The sequence below is a fragment of the Homo sapiens genome, chromosome 1, assembly GCF_000001405.40.
Source record: "Homo sapiens chromosome 1, GRCh38.p14 Primary Assembly".
Classification (NCBI taxonomy): Eukaryota; Metazoa; Chordata; class Mammalia; order Primates; family Hominidae; genus Homo; species Homo sapiens.
In genome coordinates, this window is record NC_000001.11 from 70,202,710 (window position 1) to 70,223,183 (window position 20,474).

General features: G+C 39.3%; 2 protein-coding genes across 33 annotated transcripts in view, besides 4 other annotated features; one reads left to right on the top strand and one right to left on the bottom strand.

Annotated features, from left to right (window-relative positions):
- LRRC40 (leucine rich repeat containing 40) overlaps positions 1 to 2,870 on the bottom strand; it is a 60,775-nt gene extending 57,905 nt beyond the window's left edge. For all 3 annotated transcript variants that reach the window (XM_011541763.2, NM_017768.5, XM_047424519.1), the window contains exon 1: positions 2,681 to 2,870. Coding sequence is in view for 2 of the 3 variants with exons in the window: in NM_017768.5 (NP_060238.3) it covers positions 2,681 to 2,831 (151 nt within the window). In the remaining variant the exon portion in view is untranslated. The remainder of the gene's footprint in view (positions 1 to 2,680) is intronic.
- Positions 2,464 to 2,523: an enhancer, noted in NCBI's record as "active region_1186". NCBI's record gives its function as "activates an Ori minimal core promoter by ATAC-STARR-seq in GM12878 lymphoblastoid cells {active_cell/tissue: GM12878}" and the evidence as "EXISTENCE:reporter gene assay evidence [ECO:0000049][PMID:35858748]".
- Positions 2,784 to 3,093: an enhancer, noted in NCBI's record as "active region_1187". NCBI's record gives its function as "activates an Ori minimal core promoter by ATAC-STARR-seq in GM12878 lymphoblastoid cells {active_cell/tissue: GM12878}" and the evidence as "EXISTENCE:reporter gene assay evidence [ECO:0000049][PMID:35858748]".
- The window catches only part of SRSF11 (serine and arginine rich splicing factor 11), a 47,357-nt gene continuing 29,869 nt past the window's right edge, over positions 2,987 to 20,474 (top strand). For 10 of the 30 annotated variants that reach the window (NR_146810.2, NM_001350612.2, NM_001350614.2 and 7 more), the window contains exon 1: positions 18,671 to 19,130. Coding sequence is in view for 22 of the 30 variants with exons in the window: in NM_001394405.1 (NP_001381334.1) it covers positions 18,928 to 19,130 (203 nt within the window). In the remaining 8 variants the exon portion in view is untranslated. Of the gene's footprint in view, positions 3,072 to 13,584; positions 20,090 to 20,474 lie in introns of those variants that run through there. The other 20 variants (XM_047434514.1, XM_047434518.1, XM_047434523.1 and 17 more) reach the window with 9 other exon arrangements.
- Positions 18,565 to 19,110: an enhancer, noted in NCBI's record as "NANOG-H3K27ac-H3K4me1 hESC enhancer chr1:70686957-70687502 (GRCh37/hg19 assembly coordinates)". NCBI's record gives its function as "activates a minimal SCP1, AML or CMV promoter by ChIP-STARR-seq in primed H9 embryonic stem cells {active_cell/tissue: H9 hESC(primed)}" and the evidence as "EXISTENCE:reporter gene assay evidence [ECO:0000049][PMID:30033119]".
- Positions 19,006 to 19,055: a silencer, noted in NCBI's record as "silent region_988". NCBI's record gives its function as "represses an Ori minimal core promoter by ATAC-STARR-seq in GM12878 lymphoblastoid cells {active_cell/tissue: GM12878}" and the evidence as "EXISTENCE:reporter gene assay evidence [ECO:0000049][PMID:35858748]".

A 20,474-nucleotide genomic window follows, 5' to 3' on the forward strand; every position in this document is an offset into this window, starting at 1 on the left:
TGGTTCATCAATTATAATAAATGTACTACATTAATGCAAGATGTTAATAACAGAGGAAACTCTAAGCTGGAGACAGAGGGTATATGAGAATATAATGTACCATCTGCTCAACTTTCATTAAAAAAGTTCGTTAAAAAATTTTAAAGTATGGTTGTTTGGGGGAAAGGTAATTTTTGTTAGTGTCATTATTATTATTTTAGAGACAGGATCTCACTCTCTTGCCCAAGCTGGAGTGCAATGGCACAATCACAGCACCCACTGCAGCCTCCAACTCAGGCTCAAGCAATCCTCCCACCTCAGCCTTCCAAGTAGCTAGGACTAAAGGCGCACGCCACCATGCTCATCTAATTCTTGTATTTTTTGTAGAGATGGGGTCTCACTATGTTGCCTCAGGCTGGTCTTGAATTTCTGGCCTCAAAGCGATCCTCCTGCCTCTCAATTTGCCAGAGTGCTGGGATTACAGGCATGAGCTACTATCATTATCAAAGTATAGGATACTGAAAAGAGGCCTCAAAGTAAATAGTTAAGGGAAAGGTTTAGAAAGACTTTTGTATGCTGTGCTAAAAAGTTTACCTATACCGTATCTTCTGGGCTATGGGAAGTCATTAAACGTTTTGAGTGATGTAAGATCTGTTTTGGAAAAATAACTCTTGGTAATGACACTAGGATTTAGAGTGTGAGGGTAGTTGTTGTTGTTGTTTATGGACAGGGTCTCACAATATTGTCCAAGCTAGAGTGCAGTGGCTATTCACAGGTGTGATCATAAGGCACTACAGCCTTAAACTCCTGGACTCAAGTGATCCTCCTGCCTCAGCCTCTGGAGTAGCAAGAGTGAGATGTAAAGTAAAAACTCCAGGAAACCAACTAGAAGGTGCTGCCATGATAACAGCAATGGTGAATTTTTACTGTGTACTTTTTATGTACCAGGCACTTTATTTCATTTTATCTCATTTAGACCTTAATAGGTCCTGTTATGACTCCTGCATAATAAATGAGAAATTAGGGCACAGAGTGATTAACCATCTCAATGTTATGTGAGCAAAGATAGGAAGATAAGAAGCACGACCCCGTAACGAACTACAAACAGTTCAGAATTATAGTGGTTTGCCTATCAAAGTTTCACTAACAAGTGATGAAACTGAGGGCTACATACAGCCAGACAGAGAAAGACTTTCTATATTATAGTAACAGGGATTCCTTTTTTATATATAAGCTACAAATACCATGAGTTTCTGCCATTTATATCTTTCCCTCCTATGAAATGCTGTTTATTCACTCATTTAAAATCATTTTATGTACCAGGTAAAGTGTTAGGTTCTGGTTATATAACAATAACCTAAGCAGTTCTAATCCATATCATCACGGACCTAAGAGTCAGAATCCATGTGCTCTCTTAAAGTTTAACAGACGAAACCACCTGAGTCTAGTCAATAAGTACATTCTAGCACACCACTTATGATTTGAGAATACTCATTCACTTACTTATTGCTTCCGCAAAATTTAATAAGACTCTACTATGTACCAAGCACTATTTTCAGTGATAGAAATACAACAAAGCACAAAACAAAGCTCACTGACTTCATGATATTAACCTTTTGGTTGGAGGGCAGAGAAAACAAAAAACATAAATGATATAAATTCTGATAGTGATAAATGCTGTTAAAAAATTAAACAGGTAAGAGAACAGAATGTTAGCATGATAGGTATGCAAGTTTAGAGAAAAATGTTTCAGGTTTTGGGGAAACCAAGTAGATATATATATATGCACAACTGTAGTTTGAAAATGAGTATGTTCCCATTGATCAAAAACTCTTTTAGGTGGAGTAAGGATTCTGTGTCTTTTCATTCATTCAGAAGCATTTGCTTGCCTAATCTACTTTATACATGTCACAATAAGAAAGCAATCATTAGAAGGAAAATGGAAGGTTTTAATCAGTCTTAAAACCTAAATATAAATGAAGAAAAACATTACAGGAAAAATGCTCTATTTCTCCATCTCTCCATTCCCCTCCCTCTCTCTCTTACACACACACACACACACACACACACACGACAATCAGAAGAGCATCTGGCCATTCATTCATGGTACCCAGATTTGTGCTTCTTGGTCTTTAACAGGTTTCTCAGGATGTCCCCACATTCAAACACTCTGTGTGGCATCTATCCTGATCTTCAACTTAGAAAATATACTCATTATTCCTTGTAAGTAGAACTCTGCACAGCTGCATACAGAAGAGCGTCTCGGCAGGGAACAGTGCAGGTTCACAAAGGGGCCGATAAAACATATAATTTTAGCTTTGGTAATTGCCCTTGAAGATTACAATAAGAGGAGGAAAATAAGGGCCAAAGAAACAAAAGATTTGCCCGTGATTTGATAGCTGGTTTCGTCACATATTATGTTGCTTATCCCACAGAATGTGGGAATCCCAGAAAGCGCCCCGTTTAAATTTAGACCGTATTTTTAGCAGGGTCCCTTTAACAGAGATTGCGGGAACCTGGGAAGGAACTGAACTGGGCTAACCAAACCGGTCGAAATGAGCACAGGGATTAGATTAGAGCACAGAAATTCTGGCTAGCAGTCTGAGAAAGGGGGCCAAAGCCAGCCCAGAGAAAAGGGAGGTTGCCTGGGCCAAAGGCTTTCTGACAGGAGACACAATAGGGTCGTACCTCTGGGTCTTACCTTCACTGAGGTTTCTACCCGACAGGTTTAACTGGCCGCTCTTCCTCGCTGCCTTCAACAGCCCTTGGGGTACCGAGGTACCGCAGTCTCTTCCACCTGCTTTGAAACCAGCGCGGAGATCCTGCCCCGCTATCCGCTTCAGGCGCGACATGTTCAAAGTCCTAGGTCCAGAAGCTGCAGCCCCACCCGTGACGCTTAAAGGTGGCGCCGTTGGGATGCCCCGCTCCTTTCGTGAGCGCGCGCTCTGGGCGCTGGGCTCGCGGCCTCGCGCTGGGCCTTCACTCTCTGCGGCGCAGTCCAGATGTCGTCAGCACCAGCGCCTGGGCTGGAGGACAGAGAAGCCTTTTCCGTTGCCGGTGCCGGCCTAGCGTCCTGGAATTACTTCAATCAAGTAAGTGCGTTTAACGGGCTTAAGAGGGGCTTTCGGGTTTATTGTTTGCACTGTTACTGCGACTCCAACCTTCTCCTCTGTGCTTCCACCGTGGCGAGGGTGTGGGGAAAGAGAACCCTCTCTTCTCCCCTCTCCTAGTCTGAACGTGGGCCTTGACTAAAACTTGAGATCTGGGCGCGGTCGGCAGCGTTTCTGGACCCCAGCCTGTGTTTGTCGCTTGTGGTGGTGGCGCCAGACCTCTGGCGTACGGAGTAAAAGAAATTTTCTGTTCTTAAGGCTTGTACTCTGACACCATTCTCGTTGTATTGAGGGTATATAGCTTACCCAGCAAAGGAGGTAATGTGAAATGGAAGGACTGGCAACATAGAAGACAAAAACAAAAATCCTTAAAATTTAATAAATGTTCTGTGTATCAGACAGTTTAGGGAGACAAGTAGTGGTACATGCTTTAGTGAAGCTCAGACAGCTTGGATTTTTGAGCCCTAAAAAGCAAGTTCAAATCTCAGCTGCTTCTTTACTTTAGAAACTGTTAACTTTAGGCAGTTTACTCAACCGCTTTTAAAGCTCATTCCTTTTTTTCATTACTTTGGGGATAATTCCTACCGCATAAGGTTTTTGAAATAAGTGAAGATAAAAACTAGAATCTTGAGCTCTCGGTGAGTCCAGAATAATAGCAAATGAAAATTTTGTTCAATGTAAGTCGGTGTTTCCTAGGAAATTAAAATTTTCATCTGAAATGTACAACTTCTTGATTCAACAAGTAATTATTAAGATTAATCCTGCCTAGTATGTGTACTATCCTGGGTGCTAGACTTTTCTTTTGCCTGAAATGATTTTGTTTTAAAAGCATATGCCAGGGAATACCATTCTAACCCCCATCAAGTCTACTGAGGATTGGTAGAATAGTTGAAAGCTAGGATGAAGGCCCTTTGATCAATTCTTCATCACGCACTTTTACCTGAGTCCAGGTTATTGCTACCTGTAAAATTCGGTTTTTAACTCTACCCTTTTTGTTCTTATTTCTGTGGAGTCCTTTACACTAATATCGAACAAGAGAAAGTTACCAATAGTTGTTACCCTACTAAAAAAGCAAAGAGTGGATTTTTGTCTTTTTTTTTTTTTTTTTTTTGAGACAAAGTCTGGTCTGTCGCCTAGGCTGGAATGCAGTGGCGTGATCCCGGCTCACTGCAACCTCCGCCTCCCAGGTTCAAGTGATTCTCCTGCCTCAGCCTCTCCAGTAGCTGGGATTATAGCCGCGCACCACCACACCTGGCTAATTTTTATATTTTTTAGTAGAGACGGAGTTTCGCCATGTTGGTCAGGCTGGTCTCGAACTCCCAGCCTCAAGCGATCCGCCCAGTTCGGCCTCCCAAAGTGCTGGGATTACAGGTGTCAGTCGCCGTGCCCAGCCTGAGTTTTAAAGGAAAACGACCGTAGCAGCTTTTGCAACGTTATTAATGAGGTCCCTGGTCAGCTTGTCTTCACAGTAATGGTAATAGCTGCCTTATTGGGCCCATACCAGGCTCAGTGCTAATAATACCTCTGTTTGCTATTTCTTATTTAACACAGTGACTAATTTTGCAGATAAGGAAATTGAGGCTAAAAGGGGTGAAGAAACTTACCCAACCTCACAAGTTTCTCTGAATAGCACGACCAGGAATTTGAACCTAGATCTGTCTCCAAAACCTTTCTTTTTAATCACCATGACTTCCCTAGTGGCTTTTCATAATTCCCAACTTGCTTTTTTTTTTAATCCTGTAATCATTGTAAGAGACACTTCAGTTGTTTTTAAGAAGATTTCTTTATTAAAGAACCACCTTTTTCTCTTTATAGTAACAACCTACCTTTGGGGAAGAAACAACCCACCTTTGGAGAATTGAATTGCTCGAGTACAAAATTTTACAGTAACCACCCCTCCCCCTACAATAGATTCTTCTTTCGTTCTTTTTTTTTTTTTTTTTAAGAGACCAGGTCTCACTCTGTCACCCATGATGAAGTACAGTGGTGCGATCACAGCTCACTGCAACCTCGAAATCCTGGGCTCAAACAGTCCTCCCACCTCAGCTTCCTGAGTAGCCATCACACCACCATGCCCAGCTAATTGTTTTTATTTTTTGTAGAAACGAGTCTGTGTTGCCAAGGCTGGTCTTGAACTCCTGGCCTCAAGCTATCCTTCCATCTAGGGCCTTCCATAGCACTGGGATTACAGGCATGAGCCACCTCAAGCAATCCTTCTATCTGGGGCCTTCCAAAGCACTGGGATTATAGGCATGAGCCACCACACCCTGCCTAGTTCAATTTATTAAAAAATAACAGCAAGGTATAATTTTTAAATTTGTTGTTCTTGAAGTTAAATATTTCATTATTGACATTTAATGATACTGTATTAAAACATTGTTTCATCTTGTATAAGGAAAGTATCTTCTGTTTAATGGCAAAGAGTAATTCTGAAAAAAAATCCCAGTGGCCATATGCTTGTGGTAAACTCCAATAGATATAAACTGACATATATAAGAATGTACTAGTTACTGTAATACAGTGTATGGTGTGTGTGTGTGTGTGTGTGTGAGTGAGATGGAGTCTCGCACTGTCACCCAGCCTAGAGTGCAATGGCTCAACCTTGGTCACTGCAACCTCCACCTCCCAGCTTCAAGTGATTTCTCCTGCCTCAGCCTCCCAAGAAGCTGGCATTACAGGTACGCACCACCACACCCAGCTAATTTTTTTGTATTTTTTTAGCAGAGGCAGGGTTTCGCCATGTTGGCCAGATTGGTCTCAAACTCCTGGCCTCATGTGATCCACCTGCCTCGGCCCCCGAAATTGCGGGAATTACAGGTGTGAGCCACCGCACCCAGCTGCTGTATTGTATTTATGTAGTAAGTGCAGATTGAGCAAGTTACAGTAAAAATTATTACCTAATGCAATAGAGAAAATAACATGTTTTGTCTCAAATGGATGGAAACTGAAAGCTAATCAACTTCAACTGAGCTTCTTTATGAAAAGATAGTTATATATACTTATGTGAGAATTAGCTCCATTTCCATTGTTTTAAGGAGAATACATTGAAAGCAAAAATTCTAACTCTTTTTCAACACTGGCATTTAAGTCAAAGTATTTGCTTTTTTAGAAAAATTGACTTTATATACATTACTAAAATAATGTGAAATGAATGTCTCCTGTGTCAAGGCTGGAGACTACTGCATAGCTACCTTTTGTAATGGAATTGTCTAGCCAGAATTTATTATATTCATTTTATTTAAGTGATGAAAGGCTTCCCTCTTCAAGCTTCTTTGCTAAATGAGAAAAGAAAATGAAGAAACCAAATTTATGTTAAACCTAAAAATCACATTGGCCAAAGGGTACAGTTTTGTTTCATAACAGAAAGTAAGACTGTTATCAAAGTATAGAGCAGCTTGTCTCTACCATTAAAATTTATTAAGACATAGATGAAAGGTACAATTGATGAGATGGATTATTGAAGTCTGAAATTGTAGTAAGGGTAAATTGAGTTAATTTGGCAGATTTGCAAGCACACTTGTTTATAAAATGGAGTCAAGTAAGAGCAAAGTGTATTTGTTTTGCAGACATTCTAGGAAGTTTCTTTTTGTGTAAAGTAACAAATTTAGCCTATTTTGAATTGTATTGTGTTTATCTTTCAGAATATTGCCTTATGTATGAGAGCTGCTATCTTATGGTAAAAGTTGTTTATTGAGAGAACATTTTAGTTTTCTTTAAAAATTTAGACTTACAATTTCACATTTGTTTTCCCTTCAGGGCTATCATTGCCAACTTTAAGAGTAGCTGGGAGAGGACATTCTTTTTTGTTTGTTTGTTTTTCCTTTTTTTCTGAGACAGAGTCTCAGTCTGTTGCCCAGGCTCACTGCAGCCTTGACCTCCCTGGCTCAAGAGATCCTCGCATCTCAGCCTCACAACTAGCTGGGACTAAAAGCACCTCGCTTCTTTTTTTTTTTTTTTTTTTTTTTTTTTTTTTTTTTTTTTGTAGAGATGAAGTTTTGCCATATTGCCCAGGCTGTTCTCAAACTCCTGGGCTCAAGCAGCCCACCTGCCCTGGCCTCCCAACGTGTTGGAATTACAGGCATGAGCCACGATGCCTGGCCAAGAAGACATTCTTTTCTTTTCAGTGAAGACAGTACATATTTTGCATTTTACTGATAGTTTCAAATGTGGCTTTGAAATTTGTATTATGTTGTTACTGGAGTTGTATATGGTAATTTTTTCTAATGGAGAGAGTGCATTGTCTTTGGAATAATGCATTTGTATATTCTTTGTTTTCTCTGCTTCTCTTATATACTTTTGAATCGTGAAACAGCTTGCTCTAGGAGGTTTAATATTTGATTCTAATATTTTCTGCTCCCGCCCCCCTTTTTTTTTCCAAGACAGAGTTTCCCTTTCTCACCCAGGCTGGAGTGCAGAGCTCACTGCAGCCTCAAACTCATGGGTTCAAGTGATCCTTCTGCCTCAACCTCCTCCCCATGCCCCCCAGTAGCTGCGACTGTAGGCTCATGCCACCACATTCAGCTAATTTTTTAATGTTTTATAGAGACAGGGTCTCCCCATATTGCCCAGACTGGTCTCAAACTCCCAGGCTCAAGCAGTCCTACCACCTCAGCCTTCCAAAGTGCTGGGATTGGCCAGGTACGGTGGCTCATGCCTATAATTCCAGCAGTTTGGGAGGCCAAGGCAGGCAGATCCCATGAGTTCAGGAGTTAGAGACCAGCCTGGACAATATCTTGAAACTCTGTCTCTACAAAAAATACAAAAATTACCTGGGTGTGGTGTGGCATGCACCTGTGATCCCAGCTACTCAGGAGACTGAGGTAGGAGGATGGCTTGACCCCGGAAGGCCGAGGTTGCAATGAGCTAAAATTGTGCCACTGTACTCCAGCCTGGACAACAGAGCGAGACCCTGTAGGGAATTACAGGGATGAGCCACCATGCCCAGCTCTCTCCACTTTCAACACAAAAAAATTTTAGTCCCCAGATTTAGGAAAAATTTTTTTCCCTCTTATATGAGGGCTTTTTTTAAATGTTAGTTTTATTTACTTGAAGGTGGAAGAACTAGTAAAAAAAAAAATTATCAAAAATGCTTTTAATTTGGGGGTTTTCTGGTTTATTTCATTATATTATAAAAAGAAACTGAAACAAGGGTGGTGGTAAACCAATCCTGCTTATGTCATTTTCAAAAAAGCAGTATAATATTGAGATTTGTTTATCGGTTCTTAAATCAGCTGGAAGTGTTTCCTATTATTCACAGTGATTATTACTCATAACCTTTAAAAGCTAGTGCAGTATTCTTGCTCTTTTTTCCAAGACTAATATGTTCTCTGACTTAAAGTCTCAGATTTTGTATTAATTGTATGGATTTTATGATTTTTTTTTTTTGGCTTTAAACTAGTAAAGTAATACAGAAGTAAAGTTAGGGCACCAAACCCTATGTTTATGTTAACACATACACTACTGAGTAAGTCTGTTTTAAAAACAATTTCAATCAAAATCCACTATTTTAAAATTTGACTTCATATCCACCCCCTCCCACCCACAATTTTGTTCAATTGGATTCTGCTTGCAATTTCATTTACTTTAAAAAGGGAGACACAGTAAATGTTTAAAAATGGCAAATACTGTTTATGTAGCAAAGCTCGCCTACAGTTTTAATAAGACATGATATGGTCCCTGAGACTTTATCCTTAACATCAACTTAAGGAGAAAAATCTGAATAATTTGGTAGTTTGTTAACAGTCACAATCAGTAGATTGTTAATTTAAAATTTGATACTTAGATTTCTAGGCCACATATTTATACTCACAATTTGGTAAGTGCTAGTTTAGCTTTCAGAATACCTTCAAGACTGCTCACAATTTTTTTTTCTACTTGAGGTTGGTTTTTTTCCATCCTTTGCAATATCACAGTTACATATACTTAAATATTTTAAAGGTATGCATCATCAGAGTGTTGAAATACTAGTGGACATTTAAATACTTGGTACCTATGATGCAAATCTGTGAACCCAGCCATCATCATTCTAGAGGTACATGTTTTTCACTCAACATTACATTTATCAGCCATCAATACAACTTTATGGCCATCTTAGAGGTGCTGACATTTTTGCTTTTCTTTTTAACTCATTTCCTAGAAATACTACATCTCTACCATCTCATCCCTCCCCTAAAATAATTACTTGATCAATATCTCCAAGTGCTTTAGACTTCAGCCTGAGCTAATTGTGGCTTGAAACTAACAACAGTTTATTGTTTCAAGTGACTGGGGTGGCAATTGGTGGAGAGAAACATGGCCCTTAAAAACTACTTACTGTACTTTATTTTTAAGAACTAAAATTGTTTAATTTTAGTAAAGTTGTGAGTAGTATTTTACTTTTAAAATTTATGCTTTGGTTATTTGATAGTTTTTTTGTTCTGACCCATGTCATGGTACTTTTAATTAATTAATTAATTAATACTTATTTTTTTATTTTTGAGATGCAGTCTCACTCTGTCGCCCAGGCTGGAGTGCAGCGACGAGATCTTGGCTCACTGCAACCTCCACCTCCTGGGTTCAAGCGATTCTCCTCCCTCAGCCTCCCCAATAGCTGGGATTATAGGCACGCACCACCACACCCGGCTAATTTTTGTATTTTTAGTAGAGATGGGGTTTTGCCACTTTGGCCAGGCTGATCTTGAATTCCTGACCTCAGGTGATCCACCCACCTTGGCCTCCCAAAGTGCTGGGATTACAGGTGTGAGCCATTATGCCTGGTTTTAATTTAATATTAATCAAAGATAGGTACAGTTGTTTGTGTCTTTTCATGTTGGTGTCATGTTTGTATTGCAGTAGCCTCTTAAAGGAGAAGGGGCATCTAATAATGGTATAATTCATATCTTTAACTTAACTGTTTATAGGGTAGGTTCTTATCAATTTAATTTTTACAATAATGCTATAAAGTAAGACAAGTATTACTATTGTTAGTCATCAATTGAAAAGATGAGGAAAGCCAAGTGTCGTGGCTGATGCCTGTAATCCCAGCACTTTGGGATGCCCTGGTGGGAATTCAAGACCAGCCTGGGCAACATAGGGAGATGCTGTCTGTACAAAAAGTTTAAAATATTAGCTGGGTGTGGCGGCGTGAGCCTATAGTCCCAGCTACTGGGGGGGTGGGGGTAAGGGGCTGAGGCAGGAGGATCACTTGAACCCATGAGTTTGAGGTTGCTGTGAACTCTGCACTTCAGCCTGGGTGACAGAACAAGACCCTGCCTCAAAAAAAAATTTAAAAAGAAAAGATGAGGAAATTGGAGAGTTTTTTCCGACTTTCTTGTAATGACATGTAACATTTGTTGGGTGCCTACGTGTTGGGCACTCTGCTAAGTGCTTTGTATTCATATTTTTAATCTTAGAAACTTCAAATGGCATCATTATCCCCATTTTTCACATAAGGGACACATTAGCTCATGTGGCTAATTAGAAGAAGTATTTATTACAGTAGATGAGAACACACATAGGGGAGTAGAATCAGGGAATAGAATAGAAGCCACTTATGTTTTTTACATTTATATAGTTTGAATATTTAGCATTAAACTTATTGCTTTATAATTTTTAACATTCCACAAAAAACCTGTGTTAAAATATGAAATCTAAATAAGCTGTTCTCACTGTGTAAACTAACTCTTCTGAGATATATCTTTCATGTGAGTTTAAATTTTTGTGGATTTATTATGACAAGACATGGTAGGAGACAGTACAACATAGTGGAAATACAGGCTTTGGAGTGAGATGTAGTACCTGGTTTGGTTTTTTTAATCCCTGCTCTACTATTACCTGCTTTATATGATAGACAAGTTGCTTAACTTTTCTAAGCCTTAGTTTCTTTATTTATAGAATAGTCATTATAATAGTAATTTATTCTAAGCATTTGTATTAGTATTCTCACGTATTATCCTCATAACAACCCCAATGAGGTGGGCATTATTATTACCCTCAGTTTAAATAAGGAAATTGAAGCACCAAGTAATGAGCTGAAGTTCACACAATTATCTTAATTGGTAGAGTCCCTTCAGGTTGACTCTAGGGCCTGCATTATTAATCACTCTAGCACCTTTTAAGTGTTATGAGGATTGAAGGTCGTTTTAAAAGCATTCAATTAATGTAATTCAGTCTTATTAATGAAATGTACTGATTTGAGTACACTTTCACTTTTTTTCCAGTTTTAAGTAAGTCTTTAAAAATAATTTTCCTTCATGAAGAGAAAGTTAATTTACTGCATGGGGGAAAAAAACATAAAAGGTCAAATGGTGCATATGTTTAATTCCTTGATTACGAAAAACGTATTAAAATGCATGAAACTATTAGAGGTAAAGATACATATAACTCTACTGGATATTTTCTTGCATTGAACTTTTTTTTATTTTTTAAGATCGTGAAGCATTCCCTCCAATGGCTTTTTGTCAGTTAAGACTCCAAAAGAATCTTTTATAACATAGAAGATAGTATTGAGAAATCAGTGTCTGGAGCTTCCCCAGCCAAATGTTTCTTTTGAGCCGATTAAACAAAAAAGCCAAGCAAATCTGTACAAATAAATTGATTCTGATTTTCCAAGCAATACATGTGCACTATAGCTGAGAATACTGTGTATACGATGCAAGCACCAGAATCTTAATGCTCTGACTACTACTTTTTTCCTCTATTTAATCATAAAACAAAGTTGAAAAAAATGGTCACAGATAGATTTTTGCCTATAATTTTAGGGTGTTCACAGACCCTGCTCTGTCAATTTAAAAACATACATATAAAATCCTTGCTATTGAAAGACAATATATATTAAACGATATGAAAGAAGTATTTGAAAATAAACACAGGTAGACTTTTTTTCTGTCCTGGTATGTGTGTCCATGTGTTCTTTTGTCTGTCAGTCAGTCCCCTAGTGCTAACTCATCCTTATCCTCTCCCCTTCATTTAGGTGAAGAATAGGAGCGTGGGATTTACAATCTGATTTTTAAATAGATATTAATATTTATAAAATTGTGTAAATTTATAGAATTAGAAATACAGTAGAAATATTATCTAATTTATAGAACTAGAAATCAAAATACATCTGCAGATAAGTTTTTTTTTTTTTTTTTTTTTTGAGACAGAGTCTTGCCCTGTCGCCTAGGCTGGAATGCAATGGCACAATCTCAGCTTACTGCAGCCTCCGCCTCCTGGGTTCAAGTGATTCTCCTGCCTCAGCCTCCGAATAGCTGAGACTACAGTTGCACGCCACCACGCCCAGCTAGTTTTTGTATTTTTAGTAGAGGCGGGGTTTCGTCATTTTGGCCACGCTAGTCTTGAACTCCTGGCGTGAAGTGATCCACTCACCTTGGCCTCCCAAAGTGCTGGGATTATAAGCATGAGCCACCACTCCTGGCCGTAAGTTTTTTAAAACTTACGGATTTGTAACCAGCAATTTATTTCCTAGGTTCTTCTCATGGCTCTGTATAGCTAAAGGGGAAAAAAAATATAGCCAAATACTTTGAGAGTTTGCTCAACCAAATTTCCCTCTAAATGGAACAAATACATACCATCTTCATTCACAAAGCCTTTGCTGCATGCATTCCCTTAGTATACTTTATTGATAAGCCATCTGCCTTACAAGAATTGAGCAGATTGTATGAGGCATTTGTAAAGTTTCTAGCACATAGGTGATGGTAGATTTTTGTCTAATGCTGGACTTGTTCCAGTATGATATTGTTAGGTATCAGAAACCCAAAGACTGATAAATTGCCTTTTCTAGCCTCAAAAAAATGTATTTGCTTGGGGGTGGAGGGAAGAGCTATTTAACAACTAATTTCATAAAAGGCCTGTTGCTTGTGCCGATTTGCAAAATTGTGTTAATTGGGAGGACTCCACTGTCTTTTCCGTTAGTGTGAACAAAAGTGGCTAAAAGGGACTTGATTTATCCAACTGCAAACAGGGTTCCCAGTGGGTAGCGGGATTATGCATACCTGTGTCTGCTCTTTTTTTTCCTTTTGAGATGGAATTTCGCTCTTGTTACCCCAGGCTGGAGTGCAGTGGCACAATCTTGAGTCACCACAACCTCCACCTCCCAGGTTCAAGCAATTCTTCCTCCTCGAGGAGCCTCCCAAGTAGCTGGGATTACAGGCATGCGCCACCACGCGCGGCTGATTTTGTATTTTTAGTAGAGACGGGGTTTCTCCGTATTGGTCAGGCTCATCTCGAACCCCCGACCTCAGGTGATCCACCCACCTCGGCCTCCCAAAGTGATGGGATTACAGGCGTGAGCCACCGTGCGTGGCCTGTCTGCTCTCCTTTATCTAAAAGACCTTCCATCTAAATACAAAGATCTTTTTAGAAGCTTGAGATGGAAAAGAACTAAAGCTTGTTCATTAGGACTAAGAGGATTAGTATTGTTTTACGGATGTGTATAAAGCCTCATTGTCTAATATTATTTGACATGCTTTCCTGCCAATATCACGCACCAGTTAATTTTTTTTTTTCAATGTAGTGGTTCCCTACGTGTCCTACCTGTGAATCTTCAGAGTATTATGGGGAACCTGTAAGTTATTTCTTGTGTTTCAAAAGCCTATCAGAAATCATGCACTTTTCTATAATGTGACTTTATAGGCCAAATGATAGGTTATTTAACTTTTTTTTTTTTTTTTGAGATAAGGTCTCACTCTGTCACCCAGACTAGAGTACAGTGTCACGATCTCAGCTCACTGCAGCTTTGACCTCCCAGGCTCAGGTGATCCTCCACTTCAGCCTCCCAAGTAATTGGGACCACAGGTGCACACCACTACACCCAGCTAACTTTTTTGTATTTTTTGTAGAGATGGGGTTTCTTTGCGTTGCCAGGCTGGTCTCAAACAACTGGGCTCAAGCAATCCACCCACCTCTGCCTCCCAAACTGCTGGGATTACAGGGATGAGCCACCATACCCAGTTGCATTAACTCATAATAAAATTGATAATAATGATCATTTATATATAACTAGAAGCTTTCCCTTACTTACATCCAAAGATGAGCCAATTGAACCTTCTCTGTGCATACTTCCTTCACTTTGCTTTCCACATGACAAGATTTCTAAGTCTCTCTCTGAAGTATAAACTGGAATGCATTCACTTCACAAAGAGTGGACTTCTTTTCTTGAAAGCTTCAAACTTGTTCTTATCCTTAGGGTCTTTCTAATTTGTTATTTCCTCTGTCTGGAATACTCTTCCTCCAGAAATTCAAATGTCTTGCTTCTTCCTTTTAGTAAGGTCTCAGCAGATAACACTTTTTCCGCCATCCCCTGTCCTATTTCATTTCATCACAACACATTAGTCCTTTCATCTTTGTGGGGTTTTTTGTGTTTTTTTTGTTGTTGTTTTTTGTTTTTTGTTTTTTTGAGATGGCGTTTCGCTCTTGTTGCCCAGGCTGGAGTGCAGTGGTGCAATCTCAGCTCACTGCAACCTCCGCCTCCCAGGTTCAAGCAATTCTCCTGCCTCAGCCTTCCAAGTAGCTGGGATTACAGGCATGTGCCACCATGCTCGGCTAATTTTGTATTTTTAGTAGAGGCAGGGTTTCTCCATGTTGGTCAGGTTGGTCTCAACTCCCGACCTCAGGTGTTCCGCCTGCCTTGGCCTGCCGAAGTACTTGGATTACAGACATGAGCCACCGCGCCTGGCTGTGTTGTTTTTTTATTGAAAGTCTGCCATACTAGACCTGAAGTTTTATGTTATCAGGGACATTCACTTCCTTTTCCCTACTCTATTTCCAGCAGCTGGGAAAATCCTTGGAACAGATTTACGTACATAATATTTGAAGAAATTTGTGAGTTTTTTGACTGCCTCTCAATGATATTGTAGATACAGTGAATAAAACAGGCATGAATCCTGTCTCCAGATTCTATATTTTCTATAGTCTTGTTTAATTGTGAGCCTAAATAAATCTGAAGTGATTTAAAACTGTCATAGATTGGTTATATTTATTTGCTTTAATATATCTGTCATTCGTCTTCAGGTATATGTCTTATTCCTATGTAAAACAGACATTAACATAATTATTTAATCTATTAGACCTACAAGAATCTTCAAAATTATGATTCAACTCTTCATTTGACTGAAAAACTGACACAGGTTCTTAGAAGTGAAGTGAAATTTTCTCAAATCACATGCTTGATGACAGGGGTGGGTTTTTTTTGTTTGTTTTTTGTGTGTGTTTTTTGTTTTTTGTTTTTTGAGACGGAGTCTTGCTCTGTTGCCCAGGCTGGAGTGCAGGGACGCGATCTCGGTTCACGCCATTCTCCCGCCTCAGCCTCCCGAGTAGCTGGCACTACAGGCGTCTGCTACCACACCCAGCTAATTTTGTTTTTGTATTTTCAGTAGAGATGGGGTTTCACCATGTTAGCCAGGATGGTCTTGATCTCCTGACCTCGTGATCCGCCCGCCTTGGCCTCCCAAAGTGCTGGGATTACAGGCATGAGCCACTGTACCTGGCCAACAGGGCTGGTATTTTAAGCCAGCCTTCTAACTTTAAATTCAGTAATTTTTTGTTGTTGTTGTTAGCTGCTAAATGATGTGAAAATAAAATATTTTAAAATCCTCTTCAGTTGCATAAACTTTTTGCCACTTAGTTTCTCTATAGCAAAGTATCATCTATTTGTTCAGTAAGTTATTGTACATAAATTGGCTTCTGGTGGTTTAAAGGATTTTATTACAACTACCTTTTTCTTTGGTTTGAATTTGTAGTTTTAATTATGAAATGTGTCAAACATACAGAAAAATGTAGAGTCATATAAAAGATTTATGTGTACCCATCACAGAGAATAAATAAGTGTTAACATTTCAGGAAAAAAAGAAAAAGGCATGAACCCTGACCTTCTGTTATTTGTCCTTTTATCATCAAATATTTTAGCATGCGTGGCATATAGTAGGCACTCACAATAAATGTTAAACTATTAAGTATCTGTAACTGGCAGTTACATATGTCTGATTCAAAATGAGAAAATTAATTACCATTCTTTGTATTCACAGATACTTATTTATGAGTGACGTGCAGTTAGTTATACAATCAGCCTCCATAACCATGTGTTCCACATACTTGGGTTTAACCAACCCCCATCAAAAATATTCAAAAAATAAAAAATAATGACATTAAAAATAAAAGGTTTTAGAAATACAGTATAAAAGCTATTTACATAGCATTTACATTGTATTCAGTATTAAAGTTGAGTATCCCTAATCCAAACCAAAATCCAAAATGCTCCAAAATCTGAAACTTTCTGAGCACTAACTGGCACAAGGTAAATGCTCATTGGAGCATTTCAGATTTTAAATGTTAGGATTAGGGATGCTAAATCAGTGAATATAATGCAGATATTCCAAAATCTTTTTTAAAAATCCAAAATCCAAAACACTTATGGTCCCAAGCATTTTAGATAAGGGTTACTCAAGAGTATGAGGGTATGTGCTTACATTATATGCAAATACAGTTGTACCAGTCCTGAGGTGAGTATTCATGGGGAATTGATACCAGGACCCCAGAGGATATCAAAATACACAGATGCTCAAATTCTTTATGTAAAATAGGATAGCGTTTGTATATAATCTGTGCACATCCTCCCAAATATTTTAAATCATCTCTATACTAATAATAATACAATGTAAATGCTGTGTAAATAGTTGTTAGACAAGAAATAAAAAGTCTGTACATGTTTAGACCATCAATTTTTTTCCAAATATTTTCAGTCCCAGGTTGGTTGAATCCACATACATGGAACCCATGGATACAGATCAAATGCTTTATTACACAACACCATTTTACATAGGGGATTTGAGCATCCTCTGGTTCTGGTATTTGTGGGAGGGTCCTGGAACCAATCCCCCACAGATACTGAGGGACAGCTATATGCTTTTCTTTAAAATTCTGAAAAGTCTTGGCTCTAGCTAATGTTAGTTGATTTCTATGAAGGCCATAATTTGTAATTTTGCTGAGGCTCACATTCAGTCAACCCATCCATTTTCTGTATAAGCACTAGTGAAAGTCACTTAGCCAGTTGGCTCTACACCCAAATCTCAATAACCTTGTGCTCTAATCTCTCACATATTGCATCTTGACTGCATTGTGCCAAGAGGTATTCACTAATGTAGATACTCTGTAAGGCTTCAAGTTTGTTTGTTTGTTTTTACCTCCAAAACATCTAAAACTTTTACCTCTAAAAACATTCAAGGTCAAGTGAATTATTTAGTGAACTGTCTTAAATGCCATTGTCATTAAGGTATATTTGTGCGTGTGTCCAGCACATTCATTGGGACTGACTGTGTGACAGACATTGTGCCAGGTTCTGGACTGACCCAGGAAGCTCACAACTTTGAGTGATACATGTCAATAATAAATACATGTATCTTCTGTTACTTAGCAGAAAAGAGGAAGCCCTAACAGCTTGCAGAAGTCATAGCAGTGAGGGAAGGAATGCTCTACAGAAGATGACAGATAAGATGAGTGATGTTATTAATAACTTGTGTATCGGCACAGAGACATTATGGTTTTTGTCATGTTTGGGGCACTACAAGTCACTGGACTACACACTGGATGCAGTTGAGAGAATAGTTCAGATGAGGTTGAAAACAAAAGCAAGGATTTTTTTAATAGTCAAAAGCTTCAAAATTATTTTAAGCAAGAATATGTATGTGAAACAAGTTTTTCTTGAGAAATTGCAGTATTTTCTTTAGAAATATATACTTGAATATATTTAAGTACTATAAACTGTGTTTCCAAAGTCAGCTATTGTGGAATTGGCTGGGTGCAGTGGCTCACGCGCCTGTAATCCCAGAACTTTGGGAGGCCAAGGCGGGTGGATCACCAGAGGTCAGGAGTTGGAGACCAGCCTGGCCAACATGGTGAAACCCCATGTCTACTAAAAATACAAAACTTAGCCTGGCGTCGTGGCAGGCGCCTGTAATCCCAGCTACTCCCGAGGCCTAGGTAGGAGAATGGCTTGAACAGGGGAAGTGGAGGTTGCAGCGAGCCAAGATGGTGCCACTGCACTCCAGCCTGGGCGACAGGGCGACTCTGTCTCAAAAAAAAAAGTCATCCATTGTGAATGAATGTACAAAACGCTTATTAATAAGTGTAATATTAAAATATATCTTTTCTGAAAGTTTTAGTGACAAAACAAATTAGTTACAGATTTAATGTTACCAAAATTCATGTACATTGAAAATTTCGGGACATTTTATACTGGTGGTGGTGGGGTGGCATCTTAGCTTGGGTTTAAATATCATTAGTAATCGGATAGCTCTGTAGATGATTATCAGTATATAAAGACATCGTGAGCAGTATTTAATAAGAAGAGTTGCTGAAGTGACTTTTGCAGGAGGATGAATGCTTTTTTTAAAAAAAAAGTTTATACGTGCCTCTTCGCTCTTCCAAAAAAAAAAGAGAGAAGAAAAAGAAGAATAAAACGAGAGACGAAGGTGGATAACACCTTTCTCTAGACCCCGGTGCCTCTCATTTCTCGGGCTGCAGGCGACGGCTGCTGGGCCTGCGCGGGGTGGAGCCGACGCTGACGCGCCCTGCGCCGCAAAGCATTGTGGGAGCTCGGGCCCGCTAGTGTCGTGGTTGGAGGCGAGGTGGGGCGGCCGTTTGTTTTCTCGTGGTCTCGAGCTCGCGCGCTCTCATCCCCTCCCCCGCGGCGTGCGGCGGGGCGGAGAAACGGCGGCGGCGGCGGCGGCATCGGCAGCAGTAGCAGAGGCTGTAGCATCGGACACCCTCCTCTCTCCCGCAATCCGGTTCCTCTTCCCCCTCCTTCTCACTGTTTGTTGTGTGTTTGATGTGTTAAAGCAGGAGCGAGAACCCGAGCAGCGCCATGAGCAACACTACCGTCGTCCCCAGCACTGCAGGTCCGGGCCCCAGCGGCGGGCCCGGTGGCGGAGGTGGTGGTGGCGGCGGAGGCGGCGGCACCGAGGTAATCCAGGTGACTAATGTCTCCCCGAGCGCTAGCTCTGAGCAGATGCGGACTCTCTTCGGTTTCCTAGGCAAGATCGACGAACTGCGCCTCTTCCCGCCGGAGTGAGTATCGTCCACCATCACTGTTCCTGCTAACGCCGCCTCAGCCTGGGCCTAACACACACAATTTCCTTAGGCCCCTGTCGCTGCTTCCCCGGGCCAGGCTGCTTGAGTGGCTGGTGGCTGGTGGATTTACTTAAGACGGTTGTGTTCCAGGCCTACAAAAAAATGCAGAGAGGCAGGGCCAGGGCTTTTTGGAATTAGGAAACACTGGCTGTTATTCTCGGGAAATTTTTTTTTTCCGCCTTAAATTGTGCCAACGTGGTCGTTTGGCTTTGGGGACTTAACGCAAGACTAACCGCAGTCTGTACGTCGTATATAGGTTAAATCCCTTTTTTAAAAAACTGAGTATTTGTTCTTTGCGTTCTTGGAAGAAAGGTAACAAAATTATTCATGCCTGTGTTAATTTGGTGTTAAACTTTGTAGGTTGTTCACTTATTGTTATTGCTGTTATGTGGTTCTGGCCCAGCAATATAATTCAAAGATCATATTCTTTTTGACAGACGCTTAGTTTAGTGTGAGCCTGATTACTTAATTTGTATAATGTCAAAAAACGGGTTATAAACCAGAGATTTTCCTTTGTTTGAATAATATACAGATTTGTGATATTTCACAGTTGTTCTTGAGAAGGATTTTTATAAATGTTGAAATTTGAATTAGAGTGTATGACTTTTTATCCTTTTTGTCTCACTTTTATTTTGAAAATTATTTCTATCGCAAGAATATTAAGTGGATGAATTGTAAAGAAAAAATAGTTCAAAGAAGCTAAGAAGTAAGATAAAGTGTACTACTAAAACAGACAATTGGAATAATAATAATAGTCTTGTGCTTTTTGGAAGACTTATTGGTGGAGAAGTGACAATTCAAATGTCATTATCAGTAAATATCATATATTGAGAATTTTATGATGTCACTTAAATACTAAACAGGAAATTGGAATCCTCTAAGAATCTACTGTTATGGTACGTGTAACCATTAACTTTCTGCTCAATAAAATAATTGACAAAAGTTTATCATAATGAGATATTTGTTAAGTATTAGCATATTTCATCACTTTCCACTTAAAATACTTTCACAAGATTATTGGTGTTTTCAAATTGGTATGTTTCTAATTTTTAGGGAAATGTACATGTGGAGAGAGGATTTACTTAGTTTGCATGACGTGGAGTTCTGGGAACAAACACGTAAATCTTTATTCCTGTTATTTTGACAGATACTTGATTTGGTAATGAAAGACAAATAGCTTTCATAACATGAACATACAAAAATAGATGCTTTGCTGTTGTTCAGTTTTCTCAAGACTTACTGTTTTAAGCTTGTAAAATTAATGAACAGTAAAATAGCAGA